This window comes from Homo sapiens, chromosome 3 (genome assembly GCF_000001405.40).
Source record: "Homo sapiens chromosome 3, GRCh38.p14 Primary Assembly".
Lineage (NCBI taxonomy): Eukaryota > Metazoa > Chordata > Mammalia > Primates > Hominidae > Homo > Homo sapiens.
The window spans coordinates 72,900,517-72,917,186 of record NC_000003.12 but is presented as its reverse complement, the minus strand read 5'-3'; the positions used below and the strand labels follow the sequence as shown (position 1 = coordinate 72,917,186).

At 44.6% G+C, this 16,670-nt stretch overlaps 1 protein-coding gene across 2 annotated transcripts in view; it reads right to left on the bottom strand.

Annotated features, from left to right (window-relative positions):
• The window catches only part of GXYLT2 (glucoside xylosyltransferase 2), an 88,870-nt gene that overhangs the window by 59,729 nt on the left and 12,471 nt on the right, over nt 1-16,670 (bottom strand). For both annotated transcript variants that reach the window (NR_138564.2, NM_001080393.2), the window contains exon 2: nt 8,628-8,820. Coding sequence is in view for 1 of the 2 variants with exons in the window: in NM_001080393.2 (NP_001073862.1) it covers nt 8,628-8,820 (193 nt within the window). In the remaining variant the exon portion in view is untranslated. The remainder of the gene's footprint in view (nt 1-8,627; nt 8,821-16,670) is intronic.

Genomic DNA, 16,670 nt, shown 5'->3' with positions numbered 1-16,670 from the left:
CTGCAGTGAGCTGTGATGGCACCACTGCACTCCACCTGGATGACAATGTGAGACCCTGTCTCAAAAAAACAAACACAAAAACAAAAAAATCCTTGCCACTCTAATTGTTAGCATCCTATCTTCCGAAAGGTTTAACTACCTTTGTCAATCTAACCGCCCACCTCATCCTTTACCTCAGTAGGTAACTCCTCCTTTCTTGCAGGTTCATTCATTCTTTTCAAGTTATAAAAAATATTTTTGAGCATCTACAAATGTTATAGAACAGAAGACTTTTAGGATCTCAAATCCATTACATTGCTTTCACAAGGGTTTGGCTGGTTTACAATAACACACTAGATACAATGAAGCTGTTAAAACTCAACTGCGGCTGGGCGAGGTGGCTCACATCTGTAATCCTAAAATTTGGGAGGCCGAGGTCAGGAGTTCGGGACCAGCCTGGCCAACATGGTGAAACCCCCGTCTCTACTAAAAAATACAAAATTAGCTGGGTGTGGTAGTGCACGACTGTAATCCCAGCTACTAGGGGGGCTGAGGCACAAGAAGCACTGGAACCCAGGAGGCAGAGGTTGCAGTGAGTGGAGATCACGCCACTACACTCCAGCCTGGGCAACAGAGCGAGACTCTATCTCAAAAACAAAAACAAAAACAAACAAACTCAGTTGCATCAGTCAGGATAAACTAGGGTTATCAAGAATTTATGGCCAGGTGTGGTGACTCATACCTATAAACTCAACACTTTGAGAGGTCAAGGTTGGAGGATCACTTGAGACCAGGAGTTAGGGACCAGCCTGGGCAATATAGCAAGACCCCATCTCTACCCCCACCCCCAAAAAAGTTTATTTTAAGGTGTTTTTCTTTTCTTTTTTTTTTTTCCTAAAGTTTGTTTCTTGCTCCTGCTACATCTTCAGACTGGCAAGGGGCTGTGCTCAGTATTCTCACTCAGGGGCCAAACTCATGGAGGCTCCATCTCAACTCACATCAGTGAACGCAGATGCAAGAGAAGGAAGTGTGGCAAAACACATACTAGATCTTAAGTTTCCACCAGGAAGTGACATATTTCATGTTAAAAGTGACGCTCATCACTGTCACCTACATTTCATTGGCCAAAGCAAATCACACAATCACACCCAACTTCAGAGGAGTCAGGGAGGTGCCAAATGACCATGCATCTAAAAGGATCATGGACCATGCATCTAATAATGACCACGAAGGTAAGACAACAAGGACCACACAGGGACAGTGAAGTGCAGCCGTTACCTTTCCCAAGTCCTCCATGGACATCCCTGACACTGCTGGGCCAGCCTCAGCTTGTTCCTCTAGTAATGAGAAACCCAATCTCTCTTTTTTTTTTTTTGAGACAGGGTCTCCCTCTGTCACCCAGGATAGAGTGCAGTGGCGCGATCTTGGCTCACTGCAACCTCTGCCTCCTAGGTTCAAGCAATTCTGCCTCAGCCTCCTGAATAGCTAGGATTACAGGCGCATGCCACAACATGGGCTAATTTTTGTATTTTTAGTAGAGACGGGGTTTCACCATGTTGGCCAGGCTGGTCTCGAACTCCCAACCTCAGGTGATCCGCCCGCCTTGGCCTCCGAAAGCGCTGGGATTACAGGCGTGAGCCACCCGCGCCCAGCTCCCTCAATACCTTTAAAAAGGGCTCCTTGCATGGAATTAGAACCAGCTGCCTGAGACCTCCCCCACATCACCCCTCGTTTTGTTCTGCAGAGCAACACGGAAAAAATCTAATTCCGATTGTATACGTCTTTAAATTACTGAAGAATACCTTATCATCTCTTTCTATGGGCTATTTTTCCTAAATCCCCCCCCCCCCCGCAAAAAAAAAAAAAAAAGGAAATGGGTAACGAAGAGGCATGGTCCCCGTCCTCTAAAAGCACGTGGTACTATTTAAAAGCAGCCCTTTGGTGCTTTTTTTTCTTTCTTTAAAGGAAAAAAAACAACTCCTCACCATGTTTTAGTTACTTTGTGTTACTCTCAGGATGCTAGGTTGCTCGCAATAAAACCAATTCAGGCTCTTTTTGAGATGGAGTCTCACTCTGTTGCCCAGGCTGGAGTGCAGTGGTGCCATCTTGGCTCATTCAACCTCCACTCCCGGGTTCAAGCGATTCTCATGCCTCAGCCTCCTAAGTAGCTGGGATTACAGGTGTGTGTCACCATGCCCAGCTAATTTTTGTATTTTTAGTAGAGACGGGCTCAAACTCCTGGCCTTAGCCTGCCTTGGCCTCCCAAAGTGTTGGGATTACAGGTGTGAGCCACTGCGTCTGGCCCAATTCAGGCTCTTTAAGCCAAAAAGAATTTAATGAAAGGATGTTAGGTAGCTCAGAAGACCAGTGGGAGGGCTGGAGAACCAGACTCAGGGGTCATGCCCTGATCCAGCTTGAGACAGACCCAGGCTCTATGGCGTCGGTATCTTTTCAATCTGTTAGAGCCTACCACAAGCCAGTCTGGTAAGGAAACCCCAGCTACTGTCACCACAAGTGCCACAGTTTGCCCCACTGACTCCAGGCACTGAAAGCTCCTGATGACAATTCTTCCCATGGCAGCTCTCTTCTTGCCACCCCCTCACACACACGCACATGGGCACACATACGCGCATATACATGCGCACGCAAGCGCGCGCGCGCACACACACACACACACACATATATATGTAAATATATATATATAAAAACATACATATATATACTGGCCGCCCCTACCACCAGAATGGATTGGTAGCCTCCTTATTTGTGTGTCCCACTACTTCCTGATTCTGAGTTGGGCAGTAGCACAGTTTAGCCGAATCTCAACCACATGCCTGATCCCAAGCTGCCGGAAAAGCCTAGGAAACCAACTGGCTGGCATCTCCCACTTCTCTGTTGGGAGATGACGAAAATAAATGAAACTTTAAAATATGAAGTATCTACCACATAGATGGCAAATACCACCAGACATCCTGTACATATGCAACTTTAAAAAGTCTAATTAAATACAGAAGAACTCGCCCATACTGCAGCCTTCGGAGGAATCATGACGGTACTGGCATTTTGTTTTGTTTTCACCCTGAGGTAAAAAATATGTGGCCCTGAGCTTCCCAGAAGTTATCCCAAAAAAAACCCTGGGTTGCCCACAATGCCCTGGAGAAGGGTGACAGAGCCCACCCCTTCAGCATGTGCCAGTGGCTTGGCAGGACCCAAAACGGCTGTTCTATTTCTTTAGACCTAACAAAGTGCCCAAAATATAGGAGATGTTCCAGAGAATCTTTGTGGGATTAAAAAAAAATTCTTTATCTGATTTGGCCTCACCACCATAAGCAGGGTATCATTTGCCCCACGACACAGATGACAAACTGAGGCTGAGGAAATTCTATGGCTTACGTAAGGGCAAAGGCAGTATGCAGCTAAACTGGCAACATAATCCCTGCATGGACAAGAAAGTGACGGTAGTATACACCCTGCCTAGTTTTTCTAAAAATTATTTTTATTTATTTATTTTTTGAGACAGAGTCTTGCTCTGTCACCCAGGCTGGAGTACAGTGGCGTAATCTTGGCTCACTGCAACCTCCACCTCCCAGGTTCAAGTGATTCTCATGCCTCAGACTCCCGAGTAGCTGGGACTACAGGCACACACCACTAAGCCTGGCTAATTTTTGTATTTTTAGTAGAGATGGGGTTTTGACACGTTGGCCAGACTGGTCTCGAACTCCGGACCTCAGGTGATCCACTGGCCTTGGCCTCCCAAAGTGCTGGGATTACAGGCGTGAGCCATCATGCCCATCCCCTGCCTAGTTTTTAACACCCTGTCATAATTTCCTTCATTAGATGAGCTTCACTGGTTTAATAAAAACCTGAGGAGGCCGGGCGCGGTGGCTCACGCTTGTAATCCCAGCACTTTGGGAGGCCGAGGCGGGCGGATCACGAGGTCAGGAGATCGAGACCATCCTGGCTAACACGGTGAAACCCCGTCTCTACTAAAAATACAAAAAAATTAGCCGGGCGTGGTGGCGGGCGCCTGTAGTCCCAGCTACTCGGGAGGCTGAGGCAGGAGAATGGCGTGAACCTGGGAGGCGGAGCTTGCAGTGAGCCGAGATTGCGCCACTGCACTCCCACCTGGGCCACAGAGCAAGACTCCGTCTCAAAAAAAACAAAAAAAAAAACAAAAAAAAAACCTGAGGAAATGAACCATCAAAGGGATAAAGTCATCAGGAAAATTCAACACCTAGCACAACTTCACAACTATCTGCAATAATTTTCCCATATAATTTAGCTCTTAATTTATAATGTTCCAGTTCTTACAGCTCATAAAAAATTACCCCAAAACTTAGTGGTATAAAACAATCATTTATTATGCTTACAGATTTCATGGATCAGGAATTCAGACAAGGCAGAGGAGGGGACAGGTTGACTCTGCTCCACAGTGTCTGGGGCCTCAGCTGGAAGCCTTGAAGGCTGGCGGCTGGAATCTTCTGAAAGCTTATTCACTCACATGTCTAGACGTTGGGGCTGGCTGTTGGCTGGAGGCCTCAGTTCTTTTCAGGGGCAGGCATCCTCACAAAGAGCCAGGCAGAAGCTGTATCCTTTTTTTGTCACATAGCATTACATTTGGCATAATGTATTTCATACATACATATATGTTTGTGTATGTATATGTGTATGTACATGTGTATGTACATATATATGTAATATATTAACTGTTGCCTTATAACCAATTACCTCAAAACTTAGTAACGTACAATCACAAACAGGCAAGGCATGGTGGCATGTGCCTATAATCCCAGTACTTTGGGAGGCCAAGGCAGGAGAATCACTTGAGCCCAGAGTTCAAAACCAGCCTGGGCAACATAGGGAGACCGCATCTCTACAAAAAATAAAATATTAGCCAGTGCTGGGCACAGTGACTCATGCCTGTAATCCCAGCACTTTGAGAGACTGAGGCAGGTAGATTACTTGAGGTCAGGTGTTCGAGACAAGCCTGGCCAATGTGACGAAACCCTGTCTCTACTAAAAATACAAAAATTAGCCGGGCGTGGTGGCGCAGTTTGTAGTCCCAGCTACTTGGGAGGCTGAGGCATGAGAACTTCTTGAATCCAGGAGGCGGAGAATGCTGTGAGCTAAGATCATGCCACTGCACTTCAGCCTGGGAGACAGAGCGAGACGCTGTCTCAAAAAAAAAAAAAAATATATATATATATATATATACACACACACACACACATGCACACACACACACACACACCCAACTTATATATTATATACATTTAAGTATATATAATATATATTTTTATTAGCCAGGCATGGAGGGGATACTGAGGCAGGAGGATTGCTTGAGCCCAGGCGTTCAAGGATGCAGTAAGCTATGATTGTGTCACTGCAATGGGCAACAGAGTGAGACCCTGTCTCAAAAAAATAAAAATAAAAGTAAATAAAACCACAAACATGTATGATTTTACATAGTTTCTTAGGGTTGAGAATGTACAAGCTGGGTTGTTCTGTTTCAGGGCCTCTCATGAGATTACAGGACTATGGTCATCTGAAGGCTTGAAGGGGTTGGAGGATCTTCCATCCAGCTCACACACAAGTGTTGGCAAGGGTCCTCTGTTCCTCACCATGCAGGCCTCTCCAGAGGGCTACTCTGACATGGTAGCTGGCTTCCCCCAGACCCACTGATCCGAGATGGAAGGTGAAGTGCCTTTTGTAACTTAATCTCAGAAGTGACATACCATCCCTTCTGCCCTGTCCTATTAGTTACACAGAGGACCCTGGGACAATGTAGGAGGGAAGTATACCAGCATGAGAATAACAGAAGGTGGGACCATTGGGGGCCTCCTTGGAAAGTACAACCTGCTAAACAGATATGGTTGCACGTATACATCTTCCTTCCCTTCCCTTTCGTTATTTTTTTTGAGACAGAGTCTTTCTCTGTCGCCCAGGCTAGAGTGCAATGGCACAATCTCAGCTCACTGCAACTCCGCCTCCCAGGTTTGAGCAATTCTCCTGCCTCAACCTCCTGAGTAGCTGGGACTATGGCGCACTCCACTACACCCAGCTAATTTTTGTATTTTTAGTAGAGACAGGGTTTTACTATGTTGACCAGGCTGGTCTCGAACTCCTGACCTCAGGTGATCCGCCCGCCTCAGCTTCGCAAAGTGCTGGGATTACAGGTGTGAGCCACCACGCCTGGCCCTTCCCTTCCCCTTTTAAAGTCCAAGTCTGTATTTTGTTCTGCTCCATCCCCACATCCTTGCTTTTTAGTATGCAGCAGGTACTCATTAAGTACTGGGTAGACAGATATTGTACAAGACATGAGTAGTGTTTGCACATAGCCAGCTTCCCTTTGTTCCGCCACATAGAGCACTTCTCAGTCCCCTGCAGTTGGATGGGCTTGTGACTACTAGCCAGTTAAACATGCATGGAAAGACCTGTGTCACTGCCACACTGAGGGAATGAAAGGCGGGGTTATGACTCTCTAGTCTCTTTCCTGCCATGGCATCCCACGAACTACAGATGTCAAATGCTCTGGCAAGTGTAGCTAACACATGAATAGCCTCAGTCTACTTCCGTCCCAAACCTAAGAGGCTGTACAGAATGGAGGCTCTGTCCCCTGGGAAGCAAGCTGCAGGCACATGAAAAGTGTCTGAGTTTTGGGGGAGTTGTTACTGAAGCCTGACCTGACCTATCCATATTACAGATCTACCATCTCTTTTAGCAAACCCGCTAGCCTCAAGTTGCAGATGGGGAAACTGAGGCTCAAAAAGGCCAAAAGACTAACCCAAGGTCATATAGCAAGTACATAGTGGAGGTGAGTTTTGAATTTGAGTCTTCTGTCTACTAGTTGAGGAGGTGGTATGGCATATCGATTAATTCCATGGAAGGGTGAGCCATAAACTTGACCTGAACCCTGAGGAGCAAATCACTAAAATTCTCTAAGCTCAATGATCTCAGTCTGTAAAATTGGGACATAATAATTACCTTCTTCAAAGGTTACCTTTGAAGATTATGAGGATTAAATGAGATGAACTCATAAATCATAAGCCCTTAACAAATGCTATATATTCTCATTATCATTTCCCTTATACTTCACCCTCTGAGCTAACTATATAGAGTTTCAGCCCTTTTCCTTCACCCTTCCCCTGATTCAGATCCTTTACAAGGCATTTTCCAATCAATTCCAAAGCCCCAAGACTATTTCCTCCATGGTTTCTCTTGGTAAAGATGTCAAGGTACTTTTTTTTTCCTACTCAAACATAACACATTTTCCATCTTTCTATTATTAGCCTTTCTCTGCCCAACATGCTTTTTTTGGGCATTTCTCATTAGTCCAGCTAGCCTGGTGACAGGATACAGCACTGTTGACTCAAGTTGGTAGACACAAAGCAAACCAGCTTCTCGCTCTGCCACCATTTGAGAACTTACAGCAAGAGAAAACTCTCAAGGAAAACAAAGCTTGATCTGCAAAGGTCACGTGTGTACCTACGCTGGGGGAAGAGACCTTTCCAAAGCTCTTTTTGTGTACTGGAAAAAACTCATTACCTGTTCTTCAGTATGGGAATAGTCAAATAAATGAGGACCCAGCCCCATAATAAAATACTATGTAGTCACCAAAAAGAATGAGGTAAGAATGTAGGAGTACTGACTGGGAACAATGCTGATGATACAGTTTTCAATGCAAAAAGCAAGTTCCACAACAATATACAGAGTACAATCCTGATTTTCGTAAAAGAAATACAATTTAATCAGGATACATACATATGTATGTAATTATACATATGCATGTCTATATGTACAAACATAGACAGACAACTATATATGGGGAAAAAAAAACCGGCCAGGCGCAGTGGCTCATGCCTGTAATCCCAGCACTTTGGGAGGGACAGGCAGGTGGATCATTTGAGGTCAGAAGTTCAAGACCAGCCTAGGCAACATGGTGAGACCCCCATCTCTACTAAAAATACAAAAATTAGCCAGGCATGGGGGCACAGTCCTGTAATCACAGCTACTCGGGAGGCTGAGGCAGAAGAATCGCTTGAACCCAGGAAACAGAGGGTGCAATGAGCTAAGATCGCACCACTGGACTCCAGCCTGGGCAACAGAGTGAGCCGCTGTCTCAAAAAAAAAAAAAAAAAAAAAAAAGAAAGGAAGAAAGAAAGAAAGAAAAGGAAAAAACGGGGGCTGGGCATGGTGGCACATGCCTATAACCCCAGCACTTTGGGAGGCCAAGGTGGGTAGACTGCTTAAGCCAACCTGGGCAACACGGCAAAATTCTGTCTCTATTAAAAAATACACAAAAATTAGCCAGACATGGTGGTGCATGCCTGTAGTCCCAGCTACTTGGGAGGCTAAGGCGGGAGGATCACTTGAGCCTGGAAGGTTGAGGCTGCAGTGAGCCGAGATTGCACCACTGTACTCTACCCTTGGCAATAGAGTGAGACCCTCGTCTCATTCAATCCTCACCATGTCTCTATGAGGTAGGTATAATTATCCCTGTTTTACCAAAAACTGAGGCTCAGAGTCAAGTGTTCAAAGTCACACAATTGAACATGCAGCAAAATACATTAGTTAACAGAATATGCAGTTCCTAAAATGTAGTCTGTTTGTACTTAGTAAACACTGTGCCATGATTTCTGCAAATTCACCTGCTTATCAAACTCGGGCTTCAGAGAGTCTTCAGTGAAGATGTGGAATTGGATCTTCCTGTGGCTAAAAAGCACAGCTGATTTGAGCATGACCAGCGTCTCCTCCAGCCGATTGCCACAGGCCACCACAGCCAGGTGGATCCAGAGCTCGGGTGGCAGCACAGCTTGGAAACTCCTGGGTTCTCCAGGCCTCCTAGAAAGAGGGAAAACAAGTGAAAGCTATTACTAAACTCAAAAAAGTAAAAACAACAAAAAACCGGCGAGTGAATGGTTAGAACATTTCAAAACATGATCAGGCACAATCTGTTATATTTTATAAAGTGATAAGCATTTTGACAATTCTTCCTGCTTAGAGAAAAATACCATTTATTCCCATATTTATCCTGGCAATAGCAGGATGAGTCACTGTTTGGACTGCTATAGGTGTCTGAGGCTTTTTCTGCCAGCACTCAGCTGTCTGGTGCCTGCTGGCTGCCTACTGGCCCATGTTTGGAAATAGTATTGCTAAACTTCGACAGCTGACACAAGGGCTGTGGAGCTCCCACTCGCACAGGCCGTGGAAATTAGATTTGAATGCAACTTGAACAAGAGGAGTGTGGGTTGTGGCTTTCCCATGTGAAACGAGCAACATGATATTCCCATCATCTGGATGTTTTTAGGTTGGGGTGGAATGCATGACCACTGGACCAAAGCAAGTCATGCAAGTCTGGGAGGTGAGCAAAGAAAACAACATATGCGCCCTGACGACATCTCAGGAGAGTCTTGAAGAAACAGGTGTTAATCCTGACCGTCTCGCCAATACTGGTGAGGTGGTGGGTATGAAATTCATCTTCCAGTATGAAATTCACATTAATGAGAAACAGGCAGGAGAGGGGGTAGGTTAATCTGAAAATGATCAAGGTATCAAATATTGAGTCAACAGCTGACAGAGGGATAGGGTCCAAGGGTCCAGAATCATCATCCAGCTATTTCCTAGTAATAAAAGATTTGTTCCAGACGAAGGGATGCAGCCAAGCCTCAAACACACCACTGAGAAACATTTGCAGTCAAGTTGGAAGAAGTTGGCCTGGAAAAGGTGCCCTGAGACAAATGAAACTAATTTACTTGCACAAAAGATTTGGAGACCAGGGGAACTTGGATGTCAAATGCTACCTTCCTTCCAAAAACTTCGAGTTCAATCAGCTTGCTGCTCCATTATTCACTGCATGGTTGAATAATGGCAGTCTTGCTCCAGATTTCTTTCACCAGGAGGAAAGTTGAAGATGTGGGTGGAGCATTTTGGAAAGGCTCCCAGTTTGATTACTTATGAGCATGCTTAGTAGAAGCACAGCCTCATGGCTCAGCTAAGACCAGATGCGGAGAGTTACTTGGATTCCATTTACTTCGGGGATCACAGGAAAAGACAGTAGAGACATCCCAAGTATCTCTGGAAATTGTCCACTTCTCTCCATTCTCCCTGCCATTATCTGGTGAGGCCACCATCTGCCTTCCCTTGGATCACTGAGACAGCCCTCTGGGTGGTCCACCTGTCTCCAATCTTATCTTTAACCCCCAGCCTATGCTTTCTCCTGGTTGGTGCCAGGGTGATGTTTCTCTAAAGTGCAAATAGGATTGTGTTATTCTCTTGATTAAAATCATGCAAGGGCTCCCCGCTGTCCCCAAGATCAAGTCCAAGCTGCTGACTATGGCTCCTACTTGTATCTCTCACAACTGCCCACAGCACTCCAACCTGGAGAGACGGCCATTCATAATCATAGTCATATTCTGTTTCACTTCCAGTGCAGGTGACCACACTGTGTTGGCTCCAGGTCTTGGCACATACATTGCCTGTCTCTCTTTATTTCAGAAATGCTCTTCTTTGCCCTCTTTTCCTTGCTAACTTCAGACCATTTATTAATCAACAAATCTTTACTAAGTACTGTTATGTGTAGGCATTATTCTAGGAAGACAGTGAACAAAACAAAGACGCCTGCACTGGAAGAACTTACGTTCTGCAGGGAATAAGGGAAACACAAAAATAAGTAAGAGTCAAAGTGGATGGTAACTAAATAATTTATATAGAAAGCTAGACAGTAATAAGTACTATGAAGGTAATACATAGTGAAGCAGGATGGGGGTGCCAGGAGTGGCTGGCGGGCTGGGGCAGTATATTCCCTACAGTGCCAAGTTGGAAAAGGCCGCACTAAGGTGAGCTCTGCAAATGACCTGCAGGAGGGGAGGTAGCGAGCCATGTGCACGTCTAGGGGGAGGAGCATGCCACGCAGAGGGGACAGCAGAACAAAGGCACTAAATCAGGGATCTTCCTGAACAAAGTGAGGACCCCCGCCTGCAAGACTCACAGGCCTGGTCTCTTCCTTGGCTTCATGGTTGGGTTTTCATGTTTGCTATTTAAGTCAACTCCCAAGTCACATGTAAAGGGATGTGGAGATGTTAAAGATAATGCTAAAATGACAGTCAATTTCTAAAAATCAGTCAAGACACTAGCTGAAATACACTACGAAAAATTATGCCCAATATTTAGGGATATGCATATGATTCAAATGGACTAACACCATAAAGGCAATCACTTAGATATCTTAAATATGAATACCCTCACCTGCCCCCAAACAGAATGACTCCATCTAGTTTAGCTTTACATATTGGGCTTCTGCCAAGGATAACAAGTTTTAATCTTAGTAATCAGGGAAGTACAAATCCAAATAATAAAGAGATTTATTTTTATTTTCAGATTGGCAAAAACTACAAAGTAAAATAGAAGCTGCACCATATTGAGCTTTCATGTGGATATGGGGCAGGGAACAGCTCAGGCGCTGGTGGGGGCAGTGTAAGTTGGACTGAACACTTTGGAGAGCCATTTGGCAACATAGAGCACAGGTGAAGATGGATGTACACCTTCCACCCCCGCAGTCCAACTCCTGCATATATAACCTGAAGAAACTCTTGCACATTTGCACAAGACCTATGCAAGAATGTTCACAGCAGCTCTGTTTATTGAAAATGAAAAATAGGAAATAAACTTCAGTGACTATGCAAAGGAGAAAAGTGAATATATTTGCTATGTTTTTAAAGTGAATACCATATAGCAGTGAAAAAAAATAAACCAGACTGGCATGTACCAACGTAAGGCCAAAGAGAATGAAAAACAACAGGCCAGTGCGGTGGCTCATGCCTATAATCCCAGCAGGAGTTCGAGGCGGGCAGACCACTTGAGGTCAGGAGTTCGAGACCAGCCTGGCCATCATGATGAAACCTCGTCTCTACTAAAAATACAAAAATTAGCTGGTTGTGGTGGCGTGTGCCTGTAATCCCAGCTACTTGGGAGGCTGAGGCAGGAGAATTGCTTGAACCTGGGAGACTGAGGTTACAATGAGCTGAGATCGTGCCACTGCACTCCAGCCTGGGTGAGAGTGAGACTCTGTCTCAAAGAAAACAAATGCAGGACAGTGGTTATTTTCTTTTTCTTTTCTTTCCTTTTTTTTTTTTTTTTTTTTTTTTGAGACAGAATCTCACTCTGTTGCCCAGGCTGGAGTGCAGTGGTGCAATTTCAGCTCACTGCAACCTCAGCTCACTGCAACCTCCATTTCCCAGGCTCAAGCAATTCTCATGCCTCAGCCTCCCAAGTAGCTGGGACTACAAACCGAAGGCCATCACACCTGGTTAATTTTTTTTTTTTTTTTTTTTTGTATCTTTAGTAGAGATGGGGTTTTGCCAGGCTGGTCTCGAATGCCTCGCCTCAAGTGATCCGCCCACCTTGGCCTCCCAAATTGCTGGGATTACAGGGGTGAGCCACCATGCCTGGCCGGATAGTGGTTATTTCTGATTAAAATCTTATTCCTTAAGCCAAGTGGTGGGCACTTCATTTTGTTATTATCTATATTTTTTGTGGCCCCAAACCATTTGACTTTTTTTTTTTTTAATTAAAAAAAAAGCATGCACTGTTCTGCAAGACAGCAGGCCACCTCTTCTCTTCTTTGCAGGCTTCAGTGATTTGGGTCTGCACAGTACAAAAAGCAGGGGCTAGGGACGACAATCATTCACAGTGTCTGGTGACAGGTACTAAAGAAAAATAAAACCTCTCCTGGTGCCAGTTCAAGTATCAGTGGTTGGGATTTAATGAGACCTTTGCTGGCCTCACCCTATTACTTCTCACATTACATGAAAAATCTCAGGCTTTAGGTAATCAGTGTTAGTGCTGTGCAGTCACAATGCATAATAAAGTTTAAGGGCACTGGCACGGTGTGCCTTTCACCAGCTCCTACTGATGGCACTCTCAAATGTCAATCAAGATTGTGAGGATCCAGGGGAGGAGTGCAGTCTAGGGACCTAGGACTTCTTAACCCCTTGAATGACTAGGATTGGGCAGGGAATGGGTGATAGGGAATTCTAGCACTGCTGTGACTGATGGTTAATAACGTTCTTATTTTTACTTTATAAAAGGGGACTGGAGTGAACATTTGCTGTCCAGGAATTTTAAGGACCTGTTGCTAAGGCAGGGGCTGATGGCAACGATCCTGGTAACCATGCTGGTACAGCCTGAACAGGAGTCAGCTTATCACAGTGGAAAAGCAGAGTCAGATGATGGCAGGGCAGATCTCTGGTGATACCACCTGGATCTAGGTGCATCTGACCCTAATCTTAGGTAGTTTAGTTATTAAGCCAATAAACTCCCTTTTGCTTAAACCAATTTGAAACAAACTTACAACTTAGCAATCAAAATAAGAGTCGTAACGAAGGTCCTAAAAAGATGTTCCCAATCAACTTTGACTCTTCCTGCCTCGCTCATATTCACCTGATTTATCCTTTGAAATGCCCACTGAACCCATTCCCTCCTTGTTGCTCACTGCTATGACCCTTACCCAAATCCTGACCATTCTTCCAGTTTTGTGGCTGGAAGAGATGCCAAACACCATGTAGGGCAGGGGATTCCCTACCTGGCCATGCATCATAATCATCTGCAGTGTTTGTTATTTTGCAGACTCCCAACTCACAGAGATTCTGATTCCATGGGTCTTGGGTGAGGCCCTGGAGTCTGCATATTAACACACTTGTACTACACACCACCCATAGTTCAGCTATGGTCAGGAACCAGGGATCTGAGCTCAAATCTCACCTCTCCTCCTTTCCTTAAGACTTACATTCCCAGAAATGGAATTACTGGGTTAATATCTATGATCCTTTCAAGAAAGTAGCAATTTTGATAGTTTCTCAAGTTTACCCAAGTTCTAAAGGAAAGCATCAGACTATGAGAAGAAAACAAAAAGCGTAACAAACACTACCCTAGCCATCTCTGGATTACTTGTATTATGTAAGTGGAAATGGTCTTGCGTAAGACCTATTGCCTCCTAATTCCATGTATTCCAATGGGGTGATGCATAGGTGCTAGTAAACATTGAGACTCCAATGCAGCAAATAACACTGAGTCACACAGGGAGAAAGCTATTCCATTTTCAGTGCTTTTTCAACAACACCAACAACAATAAAGTCTCAGCTTGATGCTTTTTAAGAATTTTAATATTTTCCTATTATTTTTTGTTTTGTTTTGTTTTTTGAGACGGAGTCTCACCCTGTGGCAAAGGCTGGAGTGCAATGGTGTGATCCCAGCTCACTGCAACTCTATCTCCCAGGTTCAAACGATTCTCCTGCCTCAGCCTCCCGAGTAGCTGGGATTACAGGTGCCCACCACCACACCCAGCTAATTTTTGTATTTTTAGTAGAGATGGGGTTTCATCATCTTGGCCAGGCTGGTCTCAAACTCCTGACCTCGTGATCCTCCTGCCTTGGCCTCCCAAAGTGCTGGGATTACAGGCATGAGCCACCATGCCTGGAAGTACAGGCATGAGCCACCGCACCTGGCCTTTCTTATTTATTTTATTTATTTATTTATTTATTTTGGTAGAGATGGGATCTCACTATATTGCCCAGACTGAACTCCTGGGCTCAAATGATCCTCCCACCTTGGCCTATCAAAGTATTGGGATTACAGGCGTGAGCCACTGCACTCGGCTCAGCTTGCTGCTTACATGTCTTGAACACTTTTCTGATATTATCTAATCCTCCCTTTCAATTGAAAAGACACTGTAACCTTCAGCAGGAAAGAATACCAAGCTAAAAATGACAACATTCAGTGTTCTTAGTGTTTGATTTGACAATTATCTTCTATTTATGTTATCACTGACAATTTCTGGCTTTCTGATATAAAGTTTCTTTTAAAAATAAATGTACTTAGGATGTGGAGAAACTAGGATCCTCAAACATTGCTGGTGGGATTAGAAACTGGTACAGCCACTTTGGAAAACAGTTTGGTAGTTCCTGAGAATGTTAAATATAGAAGGTACCATATGACCCAGAAGTTCCTTTTCTAGTTATATACCTACAGGAATTGAAAACATGTGTCCACATAAAAGGTTGTACACAAATGTTCAAATAGCAGCATTATTCCCAATAGCCAAAAAGTCCAACTTAAATGTCCATCAACTGGTAAACTGATACATCAAATATGGTATATCCATACAATGGAATAGTATTTGGCAATAAAAAGGAATCAAGTATGATAACGATGCATGCTACAACATAAATGAACCTTGAAAACAGTAAACCTGTGAACATAATGACAATGTAAAAAGCCACATATTTTATGATTCCACATATATGAAAAGTCCAAAATAGGCAAAGCCACAGAGACAGGAAGTAGATTAATGAGGCTGGGTGCGGTGGCTCACCCCTGTAATCCCAGCACTTTGGGAGGCTGAGGCGGGCGGATCACTTGAGGTCAGTAGTTTGAGACCAGCCTGACCAACATGGAGAAACCCCATCTCTACTAAAAATATACAAATTAGCTAGGTGTGGTGGTGCATGCCTGTAATCCCAGCTACTCGTGTGGCTGAGGCAGGAGAATTGCTTGAACCCAGGAGGCGGAGCTTGCAGTGAGCTGAGATCATGCCACTGCACTCCAGCCTGGGCGACAGAGTGAGACTCTGTCTCAAAAAAAAAAAAAAAAAAAAAAAAGCGAAAATGTTCTGAAATTCTATGGTGATGATGGAACAATTATTTGAATAAACTAAAAACGATGGAATAGTATACTTTTTTTTTTTCTTTTGATGCAGAGTCTTGCTCTGTAGCCCAGGCTGGAGTGCAGTGGTGCGATCTTGGCTTACTGCAACCTCTGCCTCTCGGGTCCCAGTTCAAGCAATTCTCCTGCCTCAGCCTCCTGACTAGCTGAGATTACAGGCATGTGCCACAATGCCCAGCTAATTGTTTTTTTTTTTTTTTTTGAGACAGAGTCTAGATCTGTCACCCAGGCTGGAGTACAGTGGCATGATCTCACCTCACTGCAACCTCCGCTTTCCAGGTTCAAGCAATTCTCCTGTCTCAGCCTCCTGAATAGCTGGGACTACAGGCACCTGCCACCACGCCTAGCTAATTTTTGTATTTTTAATAGAGACGGGGTTTCATCATATTGATCAGGCTGGTCTTGAACTCCTGACCTCAGGTGATCTGCCCACCTCAGCCTCCCAAAGTGCTGGGATTACAGGGGTGAGCCACCATACCCGGCCAATTTTTTGTATTTTTAGTAGAGATGGGGTTGCACCATGTTGGCCAGGCTGGTCTTGAACTCCTGACCTCATGATCTACCCACCTTGGCCTCCCAAAGTGCTGGGATTACAGGCGTGAGCCACCGTACCTGGGCCGAATTGTATACTTTTAAAATGTACTTGAGTTAAACTGCAATAAAGTTATTAAATAAATAAATACATTAATGCACTTAACATTTATAACATGGATAGATGTCGTAAAAATTTTTAAAGCAGGTAATGGTAGTATAGCAATATTATAAGAATTGTGGGCTGGGTGTGGTAACTCATGCCTGTATTCCCAGCACTTTGGGAGGCCGAGGCGGGTGGATCACCTGAGGTCAGGAGTTTGAGACCAGACTGGCCAACATGGTGAAACCTGGTCTCTACTAAAAACACAAAAAGAAGTAGCTGGGTGTGGTTGCGGGTGCTTGTAATCCCAGCTACTTGGAAGGCTGAGGCAGGAGAATCG